The sequence below is a fragment of the Homo sapiens genome, chromosome 22 (assembly GCF_000001405.40).
Source record: "Homo sapiens chromosome 22, GRCh38.p14 Primary Assembly".
In the NCBI taxonomy this organism is placed as follows: domain Eukaryota; kingdom Metazoa; phylum Chordata; class Mammalia; order Primates; family Hominidae; genus Homo; species Homo sapiens.
The window spans coordinates 28,955,880-28,977,584 of record NC_000022.11 but is presented as its reverse complement, the minus strand read 5'-3'; the positions used below and the strand labels follow the sequence as shown (position 1 = coordinate 28,977,584).

The 21,705-nt window shown below is 43.6% G+C and overlaps 1 protein-coding gene across 2 annotated transcripts in view, besides 1 other annotated feature; it reads right to left on the bottom strand.

Annotated features, from left to right (window-relative positions):
- ZNRF3 (zinc and ring finger 3) overlaps positions 1-21,705 on the bottom strand; it is a 173,917-nt gene that overhangs the window by 79,904 nt on the left and 72,308 nt on the right. The gene's annotated exons all lie outside the window — the stretch shown is intronic.
- Positions 1,768-2,268: an enhancer, noted in NCBI's record as "H3K4me1 hESC enhancer chr22:29371305-29371805 (GRCh37/hg19 assembly coordinates)". NCBI's record gives its function as "activates a minimal SCP1, AML or CMV promoter by ChIP-STARR-seq in naive H9 embryonic stem cells {active_cell/tissue: H9 hESC(naive)}" and the evidence as "EXISTENCE:reporter gene assay evidence [ECO:0000049][PMID:30033119]".

Here is a 21,705-nt window from a genome sequence, read left to right as displayed (position 1 = left end):
CCAGGGTAGGGTGTCGCTGTGGTACAGAGTCTCACATCAGTCCCAGACCTTTTCTTAAAAGGTGTGGTGGCTAGAACCAAGACTTATAATTTACGTGAAAGAAAGGAAAAAGGACAGACGCACCCATTTTTCTCTTGAATCATAAGGATTTTTTTTCCCTCTTCTATGTACAAAGAAACGGACAATTCTTTTGCTCTTTGAACAAAGAGCCTAAACCTTTTTCTGGATCTAGAATCAAACAGAACCTGAATAATTATTCTCCCTGTTGTCATAGCAATGAAGGGAACTGTGATGGGTCAGAAACTACCCCAGACACCAAAAAGCTGCTGGCTGTTGCTGCTGTTTCACAGAGAATTCCAGCTGGGAACGGCCTGAAGACTGTGGAGTTCTCTCGGCTGAGGACTCTGGCTTTCAGAACACTCGGCTGGAGTCTCCCCCAGTGGGTATCACTTTTTTTGAGAAAAACCAAAAAGAGCCTCTATACCTATTTCATTCCTCTGTACCAAATGCACAACTGAGAAGTGACCTGTCAGAAACTTGGGGAAGCAGGGGGCATTTCAAATCCACCTTTTCTCTTGAGTATCTCCCACGCCCTAGAATTTCATTTTGTCAGAGAATTATGTTAAAACTTACATATGGCCCCATGTATATCTCACGCCTGACTTTACAAACCCTCACTTAGAATGGCTGTTGCTAGTTTCAAATAGATAAGATGCCTCGTAAGTTAAATTTTTTTTTAAGTATCCAGTAGACTATAGAAACCTTAAGCTAAATTAATTCTAAATTCATTCTTGAAGTGACTCAGAGTGACTCATGTGCCTACCAGATGACAAGTATTGTTCTCTACACAGAAATTCACTCACACAGTTTTACTTCAAATTGCAAGGCAACTTATAAAGGACATTTGATCGTTCTTATTATGAAAAGGATTAGGTGCTTAAACACATCAAAGAGTTACTAAATTAAGATGAAATACAATACTATAAAACAACAAATCATTCAAACTACATGATGCTGAACTGAAACTAGAAAAATAAGTGAAAAAAAATTCCAAAGCTATATTAATTTATTTTTTATTCAGACAGGGGTCTCACTTTGTCACCCAGGCTGGCGTGTAGAGGCACAATCTTGGCTCACTGCAGCCAGGACTTCCTCCTGACTCAGTCCCCCAGGTAGTTGGGATTACAGGCATGCACAACCATGCCCAGCTAATTTTTGTATTTTTAGTAGAGACAGGGTCTCACTATGTTGTCCAGGCTGGTCTCAAACTCCTGGATCCAACTCAAGTAACCCACCCACCTCTGCCACCCAGCCTATTCATTTATTTTTTGAGACAGGGTCCCGCTCTGTTGCCCATGCTGGAGTGCAGTGGCATGATCTTCGCTCAATGCAACCTCTGCCTCATTTATATGTTTATAAATGATGAAGCAACATGAGCTAAGTCAATTCCTTTAGGAAAATTAGTGAACTAGATAGTGACAAAGTGGGGCAGAAAGTACTAATGTATTTTTTGAACTTCTCCATATGAGCAGGTACAGAACAAAGATACACTGCAAGGAATGAAATGACTGAGAGTTAAGGGATATATGCAACTAATTTATAGTAAGAAAACAGAATCATCATCCATCTTATTGGTGATGAATACAACAGCAAAATCAGCCAAGTAAACCAGCTCTAAACCCAACTTGGGCAAACACATTCTGGCCATGCTGCAAATTGGCTCAAATTTGGGGGGAAGCGGTCTGGCAATGAGACAATGCCCAAGCTCCGTTATGTCCTTCCCCCACAATTTCATTTTTCAAACAGACCCCGAGGAAATAACCTCAAAGTAGTAATTTTTTTTTTCTTGAGACAGAGTCTTGCACTGTTGCCCAGGCTAGAGTGCAGTGGTGCGATCTCAGCTCACTGCAATCTCTGCCTCCCAGGTTCAAGCGATTCTCCTGCCTCAGCCTCCCAAGGAGCTCGGATTACAGGCGCCCGCCACCATGTCTGGCTAATTTTTGTACTTTTAGTAGAGACGAGGTTTCATCATGTTGGCCAGGCTGGTCTTGAACTCTTTTTTTTTTTTTTTTTTTTTGAGACAGAGTATCGCTCTGTCTCCCAGGCTGGAGTGCAGTGGCCCGATCTCGATCTCGGCTCACTACAACCTCCACCTCCCTGGTTCAAGTGATTCTCCTGCCTCAGCCCCCCGAGTAGCTGGGACTACAGGCGTCCGCCACCACTCCCGGCTAATTTTGGTATTTTTAGTAGAGATAGGGTTTCACCATATTGGCCAGGCTGGTCTCGAACTCCTGACCTTGTGATCCGCCCACCTCGGCCTCCCAAAGTGCTGGGATTACAGGCGTGAGCCACTGCGCCTGGCCTGGTCTTGAACTCTTGACGTCATGATCCGCCCGCCTCGGACTCCCAAAATGCTAGGATTACAGGCGTAAGCCACTGCACCCAGCCAAAGTAGTAACTTTATATGATGAAATCTTCAAGTAGTCCTCCTCTAAACTGTGAAAACTTAGAAAGAAAAAAAAAGTTCCCCCAAAGACTATATAATAAAAACAATGTGCATAATTTATGGGATGTAATGTCACCACAGTAAGATAATAATGAAGACAACATAGTATTAGATGTACAGAATTTTCAGAAAAATTAATGTACAGATTTAAAAATCATATCTGCCTGTAATCTCAGCACTTTGGGAGGCCAAGATGGGAGGATTACTTGAGCCCAGGAGTTTGGGACTAACCTGGGCAACACAGTGAGACCCCTGTCTCTACAAAAATTAAAAAATTAGGTGGCATGCACCTGTGGTCCTTGCTACTCGAGAGGCCAAGGTGGGAGGATTGCTTGAGCCTGGAAGGTTGAGGCTGCAGTGAGCTAGGATCTGGCCATGGCGCGCCAGCCTGGACAAGAGTGAGACTCTGTCTCAAAAAAATAAAAATAAATAAAAATCACATCTGTATCTAGATGAAAACTAAAAGGAAACAAAGAATTTACAAACTTAATGGACTGGAGAGTAAGAATAGTAGGAGATTTTTTCTTTTTTGGATTCTACTACTCATTTAAATCAACATTTGCTAAGCAATGACCTTGTGGCTGGACACCAGGCAAGGAACAGTGATTAAGAGCTGAGCCCTCCTTTACTGTAATGTTGTTTAATCGGGAGTTTGAAAACAATTATAAAATGTATATGCATCTGCTGACAGGACAGGTGACCAAAATTTGAAGCTAACCAGGGCTTTTTCCCATGAATTGGCTCTATGTATAACACGGTTTAAAAGTAACAAATGGCAGTATTAAGTGGCAACATGCATTGTCAAAGAGATGCATTCCAGCCAGGCATCGTGGCTCATGCCTGTAATCCCAGCACTTTGGGAGTCCGAGGCAGGCGGATCACGAGGTCAGGAGATCGAGACCATCCTGGCTAACTCGGTGAAACTCCGTCTCTACTAAAAATACAAAAACAAAATTAGCCGGGCATGATGGTGGGTGCCTGTAGTCCCAGCTACTCGGGAGGCTGAGGCGGGAGGATGGCGTGAACTCGGAAGGTGGAGCTTGCAGTGAGCCGAGATCGCGCCACTGTACTTCAGCCTGGGTGACAAAGCGAGACTCCGTCTCAAAAAAAAAAAAAAAAAAAAAAGAGAGAGAGAGAGATGCATTCCTTTCCCACAATATTTCCTGATATTTGGAGAATTTCTTACAAGGAACCAGTGGGATGTATTGGTTTTTTGTAACCTTGAGTAGTTTTCTGAATGCAAAGGAAGGCAGGCCCTTGAGAGGCAGGTTCATTACCCTCCAGTCAAGATTTTAAGTTCATTCCTTTTTCTTTTTTTTAAATTTCTTTCACTGGAAAAACATAGAAACAAAAATGAAAGAAATAATTCAACATTTGCCAAGTAACCATTCTGAGAAGGGGATTCTCAACACAGTGTTAAGAGCGAGCACTTTAGTGAAGGGCCTAAGGCAGAACCTCTCATTCTCCACTCCCTGATGATGCTGTGCTATGCTGTGGTGTGCTATGATGAATAAGGGCTTCGAGTTGCACTGGCCCACGGTGGATCCCAGTACTGCCTCTTCTGTGTGACCTTAGAAGAGTCATGTAACCTCATCTGAAGGGCAGTCCTGATCCTGCCCATCCTGCTTTTATTTCTGATGTTCAGATACAAAGAGGCCCATGTACCTCTCATGCAAAAAGTAGGGCAATAGACATCATACCAAAAGCATAGGCAACCAAGGAAAAAATAGACAAAATGAACTTCATCAAAATTAAAAACTTTTGTGCTATAAAGGATACCATCAAGAAAGTGTAAAAAAGGCCAGGCACCATGGCTCACACCTGTAATCCCAGCACTTTGGGAGGCCAAGGTAGGAGGATTATTTGAGCTCAGGAGTTTGAGACCAGCCTAAGTAACATAGCAAAACTCTGTCTCTACAAAACGTTTAAAAAATTAGCCAGGTGTGGTGGTACACGCCTGTAATCCTGGCTACTTGGGAGGCTGAGGCAGGAAGATTGAGCCCACAAGTTTGAGGCTGCATTAAGCCATGATGGCTCCACTGCGCTCCAGCCTGGAGACAGCAAGGCCCTGTCTCTAAGAATAAATAAATGAATAATTTAAAGGTATAAAACCCACAGAAGAAAATGTATGCGAACTTTTACAACTCAATAAAAAGACAAACTATTCAATTAAAAATGGGCATAGGATCTGAATACATATTTCTCCAAGAGATATGCAAATGTCAACAAGCACATTAAAAGATGCTCAATATCATTAGCCATCAAGGAAATGCAAATCAAAACCATAATGAGACATCATGTCATACCAAGTGTTGGCTAGAATGTGGAATAATTAGAACCCTCAAACACTGCTGATGGCAACGCAGAATGGAGCAGCCACTTTGGAAAAGAGTCTGGCAGTTCCTCAAAGGCTTAAACATAGAGTGACCATATGACACCCAGCAATTCCACTCCTGAGTATATACCCAAGAGAAAAGAAAACATGGCCCAGAAACTTGTACATGAACGTTCATAGCAGCACTATTCCTAATAACCAAAGAGTGGAAACAATGTGAATGTCCATCAGCCGATGAATGGAAACATCAAGTGTGGTTAACCCACACCACGGAATATTATTTGGCCACAAAATTGAACAGAGTACTGATATATGCTACAACAGGAATAAACCTTGAGAATATGCTGAGTAAAAGAAGCTAGTCACAAAAGTCCACATCTTATATGAGTCTATTACATGAAAGCCCAGAATAGGACAGAGACAGTCGATCAGTGGTTGCCTAGCACTGGGGAGGTAGAAGAATGGGAAGACAGGGGAGTGAGAGTTAAAAGGTACAGGGTTTCTTTCTGAGGTGATTAAAATGTTCTAAAATAGATTGTGGTGATGGTTGTACAACTCTGAATATACTAAAAGCCACTGAATTATACACTTTATATAGGTGAATTATATGGTATGTGAATTATATCTCAATAAAGCTGTTATTAAAGAATTATGCAAATAAATGGTAAATGGGGAGAAAAGGAAAAATATAGTGAGGCAAGACTATCACCAGTGGAGTCATGTGATGAAAAGAACAGGCTGGGCGCAGTGGCTCATCCCTGTAATCCCAGCACTTTGGGAGGCCGAAGCAAGGGGATCACTTGAAGCCAGGAGTTTGAGACCAGCCTCAGCAACATGGCGAAACCCTGTCTCTACAAAAAATACAAAAACTTAGGCAGGTGTGGTGGTGTAAACCTGTAATCCCAGCTGCTTGGGAGGCTGAGGTGGGAGGATTGCTTATGCCCAGGAGTTCAAGGTGACAGGTGACCTATCATGGCGCCACTGCACTCCAGCCTGAATGACAGACAGAGAGACCATCTCTTAAAAATTTCTTATTTAATTTTTAAAAAAGAATGCAGCTGAGCTCCATTACTCCAGGCAATTACTTTATTTCCCCAAGGTTGTTTCCTCATCTGTAAAATAAGAATGGTGCCAGCCCCACCTGAGTGAGATGGCACAAGTCGATGTCCTTAATAAACACACGTCTTACATCCTGTGGGATGTCAGTCTTTATTCTACCACAATTAGGGCGTACGAGGCATGGAAAAGAACCACTTTCATGCTAGCTGTCTTAAAAGGGCATTGTGTCTTAGGTCCTTGGGTGTTTCATGGCCTGGTTCTTAGCCATACCTGAATCAGAAGAGTAAAGTTCCCTTTTTTCTTCATCAAGTCATCTGTTTATGAATTAAAAGCCCATAACTGAGGCTGCTGGTGATAATCAAGTGGTCAGCACTGGAATTACTATGACTTTTGGTTGGGTCATAGAGCTCTATGGTAGACTTGTTGACTCTCTTTTAAGAATGCTGTCATTGTTCATATCCTGAATTCAGTAATTAAAAAAAAAAACATTTTTTTAGAGACAGGGTCTTGCTCTATTGTCCAGGCTGGGGTACAGTGGCACCATCATAGCTCACTGCAGCCTCAAACTCCTGGGCTCAAGCAGTCCTTCCACCTTAGCCTCCCAACTTGCGGGGACTACAGGCTTGTGCCACCACATCCCAAAAAACAAACACAGACTTAATTGAGGTGTTTATATACAATAAACTAATCATTTACTGATAACAATGTGTAGTGAGTTTTGACAGGTGCAGACATCTGTGAAACCACCACCACTATCAAGATACAGAGCATTTTCATCACCCCAGAAAGTTTCTTGTTCCCTGATAGTCCATTTCTTCTTCCACCCCATACCCAGACTATCACCGATCTGATTTCTGTTACTATATAAGTTGGTTTATATTTTCTGGAATTCCACATAAACGGAAACATGATGTATCATGCACTCTTTTTTGGGGGGAAGGGAAGAACCCTGGATCCTTTGATTCAGCATTATGTTCTTGAGGTTCATCCATGTGTCAGTGTTTTGCTGCTTATTGCAGAGTAGTGGTCCACTGTATGGGTGAACCACTTTTCATTCACTCATCTGTTGATGGACATTGGATTGTTTCCACTTTTTCACTATTACAAATAAAGCTGCCACGGATATTTGAGTAGGTTTGCGTAGACAAATGTTTTTATTTCTCTTGTGTAAATACCTACGGGTGGAATACCTGGGTCACATGGTAGGTGTATGTTGAGCTTTATAAGAAACTCCAAACTTTTCCGAAGGAACTGTGCCATTTTGGATTACCAAAAGCAATGTATGGGTTCCCATTGTTCCACTTCCTCACTGACACTTTTTAGTATCAGCCTTTTAATTTTAGCCATTCTAGTGGCACGTAGCAGTATCTCATTGTGGTTTTATTTTGCATTTACTGATGCCCGATGTTGCTGAGCAACTTTTCATGTGTTTATTTGCCATCCCTATCTCTTCTTTGTAAAGTCTCTATTCAAATCTTTTACCTGCTTTTAATTGGGTTGTGTACTTATTGAATTTTCAGAGTTCTTTCTATATTCTGAGTAACAGTCTTCAGTCTTCTTTTGAATCTTACAGTAATTATCATATCTTTGTAGTCGGGTAAGAAGGGCTAATTTTCATTTCATTGTTTAAAACTGAGCTTCCTCCAAAACAAACCTTTTCTGTCATGTTCCTCTTCTCAAGTAATGGCATTTCATTCCTTGGAGTCATCCTTGCTTCCTTTCTCCCCTACCCACATCCAACCCTTCAGCAAATTCTGCCGACTTTACCTACAAAACCTATTCAGAACCCAACCACTTTCCAGCACCTCCCCTGCTTCCACCCTGTACCAAGCCCCCTTCACTTCTCCTCTGGGTTACTGCCAGAGCTCCTAACTGCTCTCCCTCAACTCTTCCACTCCCTGACACTGCCCCTTCCCCAGTCTTTTCTCAAATACAGCAGCCAGAGCAATCCTGTTAAAATATAAGTCATGCCATGTTACTACTCTGTGCAAGTTACCACTGGCTTCCTAGCTGACTTATGAAGCCCTGGAAAATCCTGTGTCTGACCTGCCATGACCTTTGACCCCTCTCTTCTGCCAGTCTCTTTCTTGTTCACCCTGTTCCAGCCACACTGGCCTCCCTGCTGTTCCTCCCACATGCCAGGCCTACCTACCATAGGTTTTTTGCACTTGCTCTTGTTCCCTCTGCCTGGAATAATCTACCCTCACTAGGCTTGACTCTGTCCTTAACCTCCTTTACATATCACCTTCTGCTCAGTGTATAAGTTTATTTTTGATTCAGTTTCCCTCCCCTCCATTCCAAACATCAAATACAAAAAGAAAATGAAAGGTGTAAATTATGCTTAAAAACAAGATAAACATATCTACGGGGGAAAAAAAGAACAGAACAGAATAAAGCAAAGATGAATGCTGAAGCCACAGTCCCGCTGTGCTTTGAGTCTGAATGTAGGTGGTGGTGCTGGGAGCTCTATTCTGGTGGACTGGGAACTAAAAGTAGCCCAAGTGGGGCGGGATGGGAGCCACTGTCCTTACTTAAAACCAAAGTTTGGGCTAGGCTGCCCCAGCTATGAAAGGAGACTGAAAACATCTGACAATTACAGCTCACAGTGAAGCCTAGGATGTTACGAAGAAGCATGTACAATCTACAGCCTGCATGTGGGCCAAGACCACATGGAGGTATGAAGACTGAAGTTTATCTGTGTCTGTATGTCCTGGTGGTCCTGACATGTCACTATGAGACCTGTTATAGGCTTACAGGTCCTTGGAGAAGTAAACACAAGGCTGTTGGGGGAGGGATGGCACAGAGAAGACCATTTCCTCCAAACGAACTCTGACTCCGTGAGTTTCCAAACCCAATTTCCAAAATACCAAAAGAAAACTAACTCAAGAAGACAGCCAACAAAATCGACACTGGGGGGTTAATTTATTTGAGATTAAATGAAAATAGGGCAGTCTGACAATGACTTTATTTTTTTGGAGACGGAGTTTCACTCTTATCGCCCAGGCTGGAGTGCAATGGTACAATCTCAGCTCACGGCAACCTCCGCCTCCCGGGTTCAAGCCATTCTCCTGCCTCAGCCTCCCAAGTCGCTGGGATTACAGGCGTGTGCCACCATGCCCGGCTAATTTTGTATTTTTAGTAGAGACAGGGTTTCACCATGTTGGCCAGACTGGTCTTGAACTCCTAACCTCAGGTGATCCACCCGCCTCAGCCTCCCAAAGTGCTGGGATTACAGGTTTGAGCCACCATACTCAGCCTGACAATGACTTTTAAATGTATGTTTTAGGAATTATGGGAGATGCAAAAAGGAATTATAGCTATAAGAAAGAATAAGGAAATATAAAACACAACAGGCAGAAAGGAAATAATACATGGATATTTTTAAAAAAGAATAATGTATATATGCTAGAAATGAAAAACAGACATTGAAATTAAATTTTAAATGATAATCCAAACTGGACAAAGATGGAGATAGGATTAGTGAACTGGAAGACATGCTGAGGAAGTCACCCAGAATGCAGTAGAGGAAGAAGAAAAATAGTAGTTAGTGACACAGAGGGCAGACCTAAGCCTCTAACACAGCTTTGATAGCTATCCAGGGGAAGGGTGTTGGAGTGGTGGCAGACCAACCCTATTCAGAAAGATGAAGGCTGTGAACTTTCCAGAAGTGAAATAAGACATAAGTTTTCAGATCAAAAACAGAGGGCTTTGCTCCACTATATATATAGTTGTGTTTTTTTCTTTTTTTTTTTTTTTTTTGAGACACGGTGTCACTCTGTCACCTAGGCTGGAGTGTAGTGGTGCGACCTCAGCTCACTGTAGCCTCAACCCCCCTGGGCTCAAGCGATCCTCCTGCCTCAGCCACCTGAGTAGCTGGGACTACAGGTGTGTGTCATTATGCCTGGCTAGTTTTTGTTTTTTTGTAGAGATGGGTTTCACTATGTTGTCTAGGCTGGTCTTGAACTCCTGGGCTCAAGTGATCCACCCACCTCAGCCTCCCAAAGTGCTGGGATTACAAGCATCAGCCACCGCACCCAGCCTCAACAGGATATATTAAATCCATAAATTCACCCCTAGGTATGTCGCAGTGAAACAGCCCAATACAGGATAAAACAAGTTTCCAAAACTAACAGAGAAGACAGATGATCTGTGAAGGAGTAACAATTCAAAGGTAGTCTTTTCTTTTCTGTCCACGGTTCTACTTCACTGAAAGCCTTAATCCTAAATACAGTTACGTGTCACCTCATGACAGGGGTCATGTTCTGAGAAATATTAGGCGATTTTGTCACTGTGCAAACATAAGAGTGTGGTGACACAAACCTGGATGCAATAGCGTACTACACACCTAGGCTGTACAGTATAGCCTATGACTCTGAGGCTACAAACTTGTACAGCATGTTACTGTACTGTAGTCAACTGTAACACCATGGTAAATATCTGTGTATTTAAACATATCTAAACATAGAAAAGGTACAGTAAAAAATATGGTATAAAAGATTTTTAGGCTGGGTGCAGTGGCTCACGCCTGTAATCCCAGCACTCTGGGAGGCCAAGGTGGGTGGATCACCTGAGGTCAGGAGTTCGAGACCAGCCTAGCCAACATGGTGAAACCCCGTTTCTACTAAAAATACGAAAAAATTAGATGGGCGTGGTGACAGGCACCTGTAATCCCAGCTACTCAGGAGGCTGAGGCAGAAGAATCACTTGAACCCAGGAGGCAGAGGTTGCAGTGAGCCGAGATTATGCCACTGCACTACTGCACTCCAGCCTGGGCAACAGAGCGAGACTCCATCTCAAAAAAAAAAAAAAAAAAAAAAGATTTTTAAAACTATGTGCCTGTAACTTAGGCTACACTAAATTTATAAAAAATACTTTCCTTTCTTCAATAATAAATTAACCTTAGCTTACTGTAACTTTTTTACTTTATAAACTTAATTTTAACTTTTGACTTTTGTAATAACACTCTAATAAGAAACACATTGTACAGCTGTAAAAAAATTTCTTTATATCCTTATTTCATAAGCTTTTTTCTATCAAAACTTTTTTTTTTACTTTTTTAAACTTTTTTTGTTAAAAATTAAGACACACACATTAGCCTAGGCCTACACAATGTCAGGATCATCAATGTCACTGTCTTCTGTGTCCATCTTGTCCCACTGGAAGGTCTTTAGTCGCAGTAACACACATGAGCTGTCATCTCCTATGATAATAATGCTTTATTCTCGAATACCTCCTGAAGGACCTGCCTGGGACTATTTTACAGCTAACTTCTTTTTTAATAAGTAGAAGAGTACACTAACATAAAAAATACAGTAAATACTGAGTGATAGAAATTTTTCAGTTCCATTATAATCTTTACGGAACCACTGTTGTATATGCAGTCTGTTGTTGACTGAAACGTCATTATGCGACACATGACTATAGGCAGTAGTTTTCACTCTGTTCACTCTGTTGCATTTCAAACATTTCATTTTTAATGTTTTTCCCCTTTCGTTAGACAAGGACCTGAGATCTTTGCAGAGGGCGGAATTAGGCTTTTGCCAGTCAGGGCTTTAGGAAAACTATCTGAAAGTAGACAGGAGATGCAGCGGGAAAATCACCAATTTATGGAGTGGGTGGAGTTTGCTTGCAATGTAGGTGCAATGGGTGGATTTATTATGCAGTAAAGTCACCAAGTTTACACTGTTTCAAGAAATCAAGGGGTTGAGGTATAAAACAGTAACAATACATCAAATACTAGCCTGAAAAATAGTATTTCTCTCTCTCTTCCTACAAAATGTGACCACCATTCTGAATTTGGCATTTTCATGTCCACTGTCACATCTAGCTTATTCTGTCCAGCATTTGGCTAAATGTATTACCAACACTTGCGTATTCCTAAATTGGGGCCTTTGACTTATGAGACAGCTTTTGAAGTTTGTCCTTCTCCTTAACTACAAACCAAGTACATATTCTACCACCTGCAAACCAGATCACTCATCACTTTCAGAGTCTTCTCTATCTAGATCCCTGCCAGCCCTTCTGTCTTGTTGTTTCCTTCTACTCAGGCTCAACCTGATACTAAGATATAGGAGACCAGAACTGTTCTCAGCACTTAGACTGGATAAAATGTTACTTTCTTTTCAGCAGCAAAGTGTGGGAACGTGGCTGATGTCCACTGAGGCAGGGTGGTTAAGAACCCAGGCTCACAGCCTGCCTGGGTTTAAATCCCAGCTCTGCCACTAACTTGTATGTGACCTTGAGCAAATTTCTGAACTTGGCTTCCTCATCTACATAAAAAAAGAATATCTACTTCAAAGGTAGTTGTAAGGGTCAGATGAGTTAGCCTATAAAACTAGCAGAACAGTGCCTGGAACGAGGCAAGCACATAGTAAATGTTAGTGGCTGTTATTTTCTGTTTTAGTAGTTGTGTCGGGGACGGCTATGGAAGTATAACATACATTATCTCCAATCTTAACAACAACCTTATAATGTCAGTATTAGTGTCCTCGTGTGTGGCTGATGCAACAAAGATGGAAAGAATTCCAGCTGTGCTAGGATGGCTGAGCCAGGTGGCACTGGTCTGCATGGGTCTAAAGCTTTGCTGGTTGCCCTCGGTCCTGCTCCCTTCTCTTTTGACAGGCCCTGGGAACCAGCTCTATCCTTTTGGCCTAAAGCTTTGGCGCAGTTGAGGTGAGAGTTGGGCACACCCTCTTTTCAAGCATACGAGACAAGGCAAGGCCAAGACCTTACTAATTCGGCTGGTAAAGGTATCACAAGCCACTTTTGGATTCAGGCAGTTTATTACTTACATAGACAGCAAAAGAAAGAGTAGCCAAAGGTGCCAGCTCCCCACGGCTTTGTCCTTCATACCAAAAATTATGACCTTGGAACAGAAGGGGCCAGATGACCGCAGCGTGAGCTGCGGGATGCCCTGTTGCTGAGGAGTCCACTTGAGACTGTAGCTAAGCAGCTTTACCTTCTGCAGCTCTATTCTGAGGGGGCTGGAGTACAGAAGTTCATCCTCATCAGAACCTGAGGGGTGATGAGACACTGTCTCACGACAGCCTCCCAAGAGATAGGAGGTGGGTGGGAGATGGCCTTGAAGTGTACCTTAGGATCTTCCTGTCCTCTCCTGTTCCAGGAGGATCACAGGTACCTGAAAGCCTCCTGTGAACTGTGGTTCAAGCCTCTGTCTGCATGGCCTCTGGATACACTCGAGGATGTTGTGGCTGAGTTGTTCCCCTCACCCCTCTGCCCCTGGCCCAGGCTCAGCCTCTGAATCCTTTGACCTGAAGTGCTTTGATCCCCTAATCTGACTTCTCCCCTGGTCTATATCAAGGCTGGTGAGCTTTCTAGGAATAAATGTCAAATTTATCCAACTGGATGAAGACCTTTGAGGATAGAGACCCACACTGAATATACTTTTTTGTGTCTTTTACACATAATACACATTCATACAACATGGACTTGCCCTCACTTAGAAACACAATCAATATAGGTTTCTTGGTATGTGAACTTAGAGCCGCCTGGTTTCTTTAGTCGGTTGCCTCAAAATTTGACACTGAAAAAACCTGTCCATCCATCTGACAGCTACTCATTCTAAAAACTGAGTAGCTGAAGACTCCTGGAGCTTGTCCCTCATCCCCGGCAACCTGGCAGTCACTCCCCTAGGTGCACTAGAATGTAGGTGGGTTGGTAGTAGTAACACAAAACACAGAAGTGCAAAAAGTCCACAGGATCTTCTTCTTTCTTTTCTTTTTAACCATCCGTCTCTGGCATTAGATGCTGGGTACTGTGCTAAGCTTTCAAGGTGCCCTGTTGCTGATGAGTGTGGGTTTAGGGAGTGGCTTTAATGAAACCAACCAGGACAGATCCAGCCTGGGTTATGACCTTCCCAGTCCACTCTTCTTTGAGCAGCAACTTTTATAAGCAGATGTAATCAGGCATAGGTAGCTTAATGAGGTAAAGAATAGTCAAGAAACTGTCCTAGCTTGTGCTAATAATTCCTGATACATAGTGGCTGTCTCCAAGGAGCCCAAAGCACAGCTCAGACATTATGTCATTAATCCTCCCAAAACCCCCAAGAGGTAGGCAGGTGGCAGGCATTCCCCCTGCTCCAGGATCAGAGAGAATGGGGCCCTTATGCCACTTGCCCAAGGTCATACTGGGTGGCAAAGCCTAACAAATAATTTATTGCTTTTAACGCTTGAGCCTGTGGTTTTTTTCCCTCCCTACCCCCCTCTCCTGCGATTAACAGCAATATTTTAATCAGGTGATTTTCATCTAGTGCATCTCTTCCTAAAGGGCTATTGGCTCTTTCCCTTCATTTGGAAACTCACCAGGGCAATTACAGAGAAGCAGGGGATGCAATGAGGTGAATCTGTAGCCTGTGGCTATAGCCTGTGAGCCCTTAAAGAACCCAAGTCACTGTCTCCCTCTCTGGGGCCCTCTGCCCATTCAGGATTCATCTCTGTGTCCTGCTTTCATGCACTCTGTGTGTTGGGTTTCCTGCTTCATTACATGGTCTTGAGGACCTTAAATGGGGTTAGCTCCAGTCCCACCCAACTCCCCGTTTAGTGTGTCTCCTGTGAGACCACCATCATTTGCATCCTGTTCACAGTAGTATTGGGCCCCTGGCCAGAGCCCTTTTGCCTTTGGTAGCACACTCTAATCTACCCAACCTTCCATTCAACAGTCTTACCATCCATTCAGGCCATGTATATGGTGAAGTCACAAAATAACCCTCTTTGTTTAGTCTTTCCAAAAGGATGTTCAGGGTACAAGCCACTGTGCATAAAACGGCTTCCTTCAATGCATTTGAACTAAGAGCAGACCCCTGCCTATAACACTGCACTGAGCCTTTTATTCTTGCAAACTAAAGAATGTACGTACCAAATTTCAGCCAGAGACCAGCAACCACAACACAGAACATTCTTAAGAATGGAGGCATCAGTATGGCAGCTCATTCCTTCATATAGGAGCTTTTTGGGCTGCAGCTGTCCTCCCCTGCATACCTCCCCAAATACAGGCATGTATCCTCATGGGTAGACATTGAGGCTGACACACACAACAGTGTAAATGACTAATGACACATGGAGCACTCCATCTATAACTATGGAAGAAATGATAACACAGTGGCTCCAGATCCTATCATGGCCTGCCTGTAGCACCTCTACGAGAGTCAGTATAATAGCTAGAATCAGGGGTTCTCTCTCTGTGAAAAACAAGTGACTGCTTGTGCCTTTTGGAGAGCTGACCCAGAGAACATTACAGTATGGCCTGAGATAAGCATAAGTATCACAGACAACTTCATTGCACCCCTCTGCACTCCAAGCCTACCTTGTAAGGTCAAAGGTTACACAGAAGTTACAAGTTAGAAGTTACAGAGAGTCAGAGGTTACAGAGAAGTCACTTAGCTGAGACAGCAGCTTTAGGCTAGTGCTGTCCAACAGAACATTCTGCAATAATGGCAATGTTCTGTTTCTATACCAGCAATGTAGGAGCTACAAGCCACATGTTGCTATTGAGCAGTTGGGATGCGGTAAATGCAAACCGAGAACTGAATTTTAAGTTTTACTTAATTAACTCAAATTTAAATAGCCACATTAGGCTGGTGACCACTGTGTTAACCTCAGACTCTGAAATCTAATACTTCCCTATATTCTCAAGGAAGAAAGTCCACATGTATTCTTACCCTATTCTCCTCAAGATATCTTAAAGTCAGGACCAGCTTGAATCAAGAAGATAAAGACATATGTTTGATGCTACTGAGGAAATGTTGTTTTTAAAAGATTTAGTTTTTAATAGCAGTACCATGCTGTGCAAAACAAAATAAAATACCACAGGAAGTCAGCAAGGAAGGTCTTTTGGGGTCAGATACCAGTGGGTGGTCAAGTAACATGGAGAAACTCAAATAGCAACGGTGAGAAGCTCAGGCTGCCATTAATTTCACTGTGTGTCTTGGGTAAAGCATTTTTTTCCCCTCTGGACCTCCATTTCTCAACAATAAATAGATTTAACCATCTGCCCTTTCTAATTCACAGAGTTGTTGGAAGGAAAAGGTAAAGTAGACTAAAGAGTATCAAATGCTACTTATTTAATAAAACCAAGATGTCATACTAAATTCACCTAAGTCACTAGGAGGTCCTTATCCCCCATTCTCCTGCCTGCCCATCTTCTGCCCCATCCATTCTTCATGGTCCAGCTCTTGCCCCATTGCCTCCACATGATCTTTCTAGAACCCTCCAGCTCACTATCACTGTTTCCTCTGAATACTGTCCATATTTTGACACTTTAAGCTCAACTATCACATGTGTGTTCTTGTCCCAATGGGATGGGATGTCAACCAATAGCTCTGGATTAAATGAGATAATGCATGTGCTATGGTTTGAATGTATATGGCCCTCCAAAATGCACTTTGGAACTTAACCCCCAAGGTGATGGTATTAAGAGGTGGGGGGCCTTGGGAGGTGATTAGACAGTGTGGGCTCTTCCCTCATGAACAGATTAGTGCCCTTATAAAAGGTCTTGAAGAAGAGTTGACCCTTTTGTGCCATCTTGGAAGGAGAAAGTGAGCCTTCAGCAGAAACCAAATCTGCTGGCACCTTGATCTTGGACTTTCCAGCCTCCTCAACTGTGAGAAATAAATTTCTTTTATGAATCACCCAGTTTCAGGTATTTTGTTAGAGCAAAAGGAACAGACTGAGATAGTATGTCACATAATAAAACTTTATGTTAAAAAGATAAACAGCAACATGATAAATTGAGATGATGTGGTTAAGTGAGCCACTAGGCAGAAGCCAAGGATGATGTAGCTTCTACACTTAGAATGACTGAGAACAGCCAGGGAAGAGTGATCGGCTGGGAAACCCTACTAGTGGAATTGGAATTGCTGGGGATCCCTCCAAGAGGAAGTAAGAATGAGCAGGAGCCTGGCAGGTAATGGGCTCCAATCTGAGACTCAGAACAACAATGCAGCCTCCCCACTCGGAACTGGAAACGACCCAGTTTCAAAAGGGGGCAGTAAACAGGCCCAAAGATGAACTCATTGCCATTTCCTTCCAACCAGCTGCCCAACTATCCCTTTTTAAAAATATAGCCCCTATCAATATGACCCAAGAGCTACAGGATTTGAGAACCTTGAGTTCAGGATGGCAGTCCCAGACCTCCCTGCTAGATCAAATTTATCAGCTGCACTGTTGCTCAAATTAATTAACAGTAGCTCTCCAGCTACTGCCACCATAGCAAACAGCTCTGGGATGCCACTGAAGATCCCCAGTGGGGACTGATTGGGAAGGGACACCAGGGAACTTTCTGGGCTGATGGTCATGTTGTTCTCTATCTTGACAGGGGTTGGGTCTCACAAAGGGACTCATTTATTAAAAACCCATGAGACAGTACACTTAGGATTTGTACATTTCACTCCATGTAAAGTTTATCTCAAAGAAAAAAACATAAACGAAAAATGCACAGTCCAGCCACACATATAACTCCCATCAGAATCTCTGGGGTTGGGACCCAGACTCTGGTTTTTTAACATGCTTCCCAGGTGATTCTGATGAAGATGAACTTCACAGAACACCTTGAAAATGACTTGCCCAGACCAAAGAAAACAGGCCAAGAACAGATAAAGAACATATTCAAATTAGCTTCTCACTTTCTATCTGAACTAAGTATCTCAGTCTGCTCAGGCTATCATAACAAAGTACCCTAGACTGGGAGGCTTAAACAACAGAAACTTATTTTCTCACAGTTCTGGAGCTGGGAAGTCCAAGATCAAGGTGCCACTGAGGCAGGTTTCACTCTGAGGCCTCTTCTCTTAGCTTGTGGTGGCCACCATTTCCCTGCATGCTCACATGACCTGTTCTTTGTGCATACAAGGGGAGAAAGAGAGAGCAAGCTCCCTGGTGTCCCTTTTTATAAGGGCACTAAGCCCACTGTGAAGGTCCCACCCTCTTGACCTCATCTAACCCTAACTGCCTCCCATAGACCCCATCACCAAATACCACCACCGTGGGAGTTAGGGCTTCAACACAAGAATTTGGTAGAGAAATGAAATGAATATTCGGTCCATCATACTTGTCTACATGACAGAAATCACAACTCAAGATTCTCAAGAGTTACTGGGAATTACCATATGAAATGGCTAGTTTCCTGATTTTATTTACAAAAATGGCACTTGTGTATGTTCTACTTAATATTACTGTGGTAACATGATGGTATTACTTCTAGACACAAGCATGTGCCTTGGTGAATGAGTAACTTCTTAAGCCACAGATGGGCATAATCTTATTTGAAAGAGGTCTTCCCAGGCCAGAGGTTCATCTCCAACCCGAACTAGACTATTCCTCCAGAAAGACAGAAGAAAAGAGAAGGAGGAGAGGAGGCGCAGCAGCTAATGGGCAGTCATAAGGTGTGGCAGTCATAAGGTGAGGTGTTCACCTACCCACCTGGGTTCCACAGCTAAGGGGACACTTCCCACAAAGGGAGCCATGGGCTGCTGGGTCAGATGCTCATGCAAGCTGAGCTGCCTGCCTTCTTCCTCCAAGAAAAATGGCCTTGTACTTTCTTGTTTCTGAGCTCTAGCTTTGCAACAAAACCAGAATTCTCACCCAAGGCTGCAGGACAAAACTTGAGAAGCAATTCAGCCTTTCCTTGAGAAGGATGAGAGTATGCAAAAGGTTAATTTTCACAAGCACTTGTGATCAGGAGAAATTTCATACCAGAACGGGTGCTCCCTCCCAAGTGACTCCATTCTTCTCTGCTGATGAAGTGAGTCTCATCTTGCCAAGCCTCCAGAGTACCATTTAATCTTTGCTGTAAGACGCAAGGACTAAAAGTACCAGATGCAATTCATTCGGTTCTGAACAGAGAGTCACTTGTTTACTCTGAGCTAAGACAGAAGCTGAACTGGGAAGTATGTCTAATGAAGTCTAATGAATCACCTTCCTTGGGTGATTGGTACACAAGGAGGGGAGGAGAACCAAATGAGGCCAGTCATGAGCCTGAGGCTCCTGGTGTCCTCTGTACTCCAAAAGGGCCACTCTTATACCCTCTCTCCGTCAGTGGCAATCATTTCCAGTGTTCGGTCTTTACAACTCATAATTCAGGTCACATCCACTTCCTCCCTGTGAGGTGGGCAGGAGAGTGATTACTGCCCCATGGGATGATAAGGAACCTGGGCTCAGGAGGTCATAGACCCAAAGAAACAGTCAGCTGGACCCATGTTCAAAAAGACACTCTAACACCGCCCGCCACCTCAGTTAATGCTCTTAATCACTGTATCATATACCTTTCCCTCCCCTAAAGGAGGGGAGTGAGAGAAAACCAACTGTTTTATCCATCTCCAAATCTACTGATCACTGCTTTATTGCCTGCCCAGTGGACTACTCAAATAGTTGTTGATAGACCAAGTGGTTACTAAGTTTCAGAAAAGACAAAACTCATTGTTCCATGAATTGCAACCTTAGCTGTTATTAACAAGTGGACAGAAGAGAAGAGTTATGCTTTTCTTTTGAGACGGAGTCTCGCTCTGTTGCCCAGGCTGGCATGCAGTGGCGCAATCTCAGCTCACTGCAAACTCTGCCTCCTGGGTTCACGCCATTCTCCTGCCTCAGCCTCCCGAGTAGCTGGGACTACAGGCACAAGCCACAACGCCCGGCTAATTTTTTTGTATTTTTAGTAGAGACGGGGTTTCACCGTGTTAGCCAGGATGGTCTCGATCTCCTGACCTTGTGATCCGCCCGCCTCGGCCTCCCAAAGTGCTGATTGATTACAGGCTTGAACCACCGCGCCCAGCAAGAGTTATGCTTTTCAAAGCATCCTTCTTGGCTCTTCACTCCCACAAAGTTCTCCAGATCCAAAACTGCACACAACATTTATTTCCCACCCCTAATCACGGTACAGTCTCAAGAAACTTCACTGGATTCAGTGTAATGTCCAAGGTCTCAAAAAGAACAGTCATTGGCCGGGCGTGGTGGCTCACACCTGTAATCCTGGCACTTTGGGAGGCCGAGGCGAGCGGATCACAAGGCCAGGAGTTTGAGACCAGCCTGGCCAACATGGTGAAACCCCGTCTCTACTAAAGATACAAAAAATTAGCTGGACATGGTGGTGTGTGCCTGTAGTCCCAGCTACTTGGGAGGCTGGGGCAGGAGAATTGCTTGAACCTGGAAGGCGGAGGTTGCAGTGAGCCAAGATCATGCCATTGCACTCCAGCCTGGGCGACAGGGCGAGACTCTGTCTCAAACAAAACAAAACAAAACAAAAACTGTCATTATTATCCAATCAGAAAGCAATTTGGAAGTTTAGAAACTCGTTCAGTAAATTTACTGGGCACCCTCTGGGTAACATACATGCATTGTGACAGGTGCTGTGAGTGACACAGTGAAGAGTGAGGCCAAGGATCCAACTGTGGAGTGGTTCTAGATGATAATCCTCAGTTTGGAATTTTGTAACTATGAGTCTCATCTCATAACCAGTGCACCACAGTAAAATCTCAGGACTACAAAAGCCCTTGACAAAGACAGAATGTAAGAAGTACTGTCCTGGCTCGAAACCATAAAACTTAAGGGTTGTAACAGACTCAGAGATGCTCTGTGTAAATCTACACTGCTTTGTCATTCTACTTCCAAATGGAGACAGCCTTGAACAAAAAGCCCTGCATTCTGCACAATAGGCACGTTATCTTCTCTAGACTGAATTCATATCCACCTTCTTAACAAATCAAGATATGCTAGGCCAGCCAAGACTCCTGGTGGCCCTGGACCCCACAATCAGCTGCTTAGACCCCTGTGGCTACATTTTGGGAAAAGAGCCATGCTTATTAGGCCTTATTTTTCCTCCAGAATTGACCCAGGCTGATTCCAAAGCCCTCTGGGACTGTTTATACCCAGGGCATGAGGCAATGGAGCCCCTCCTGGACAGGAAGCCCTGCCACACCAAGAGAAGTCTCAAGAAGCAGAAATGCCTCACTCAGTTCTCAGCTCTCTTGCAGATGAAGTCAAAGCAGGAGTAGAGGAAGTCCTCTACACTGACCTGCTTTCAGCAACTAAGTAATTTTTTGCTCAGCTCAAGGTCCAAAAAGGGACAGGGAAACTGTCTTTGTCAGACCAGGTGGCTTCAAAGGACTGAAAGGCAGACCCCTTTCTTTGCAGACGAGTCCCTCTTCCTGTAGGAGAAAAGGCAAAACTAGCTTCTCCAAATTCTCCATGCTGCATTGTCAGTCACAAACACACAAAAAACACCAGCCCTGGACAAGAGAATGGAAGAAGAGTTAGGAGATGCCCTTGATGGGGTTTCATTCGATGCAAAAGGATGCAGCTTTAAAAAAAAAAAAAAAAAAAAAAAAGGAAATGGAAACAAAGGCCATTCGGAAAATCTAAAACATGCCACCAGCATGCCCACCTCACAAGGAAAGCCAAAACTATCCATCACCCTCTCTACCTTATCCATACTACATGCCTGTCCAGTGCCTTCTATTTCAGGGAAGGCCCCACACATCACATTACTAGCCTACTCCCATCCCAGAAAGCAGCCTGCAATGAGCACACTCCCTCCTTGAAGGTGACATCTGCCAGGCCAGACATCCCCGTCGCCAGCCATCTCTGCAGCACTCAACATGCTCTACTGGTGACAGAACCACCTCTCCCTCAACCAGATGGGGCAACTTGCTCCTAGAGGGGATAATCCTCCGCACCCCCACATCCTGTTTGGTTTGTGGGACACCTCAACAGGATGTTAGTGAGGCAAACGAGAAGATGGCTTACTGATGTGGTTTTCTTTTGAGACAAGGTCTCACTCTGTCATCTAGGCCAGAGTACAG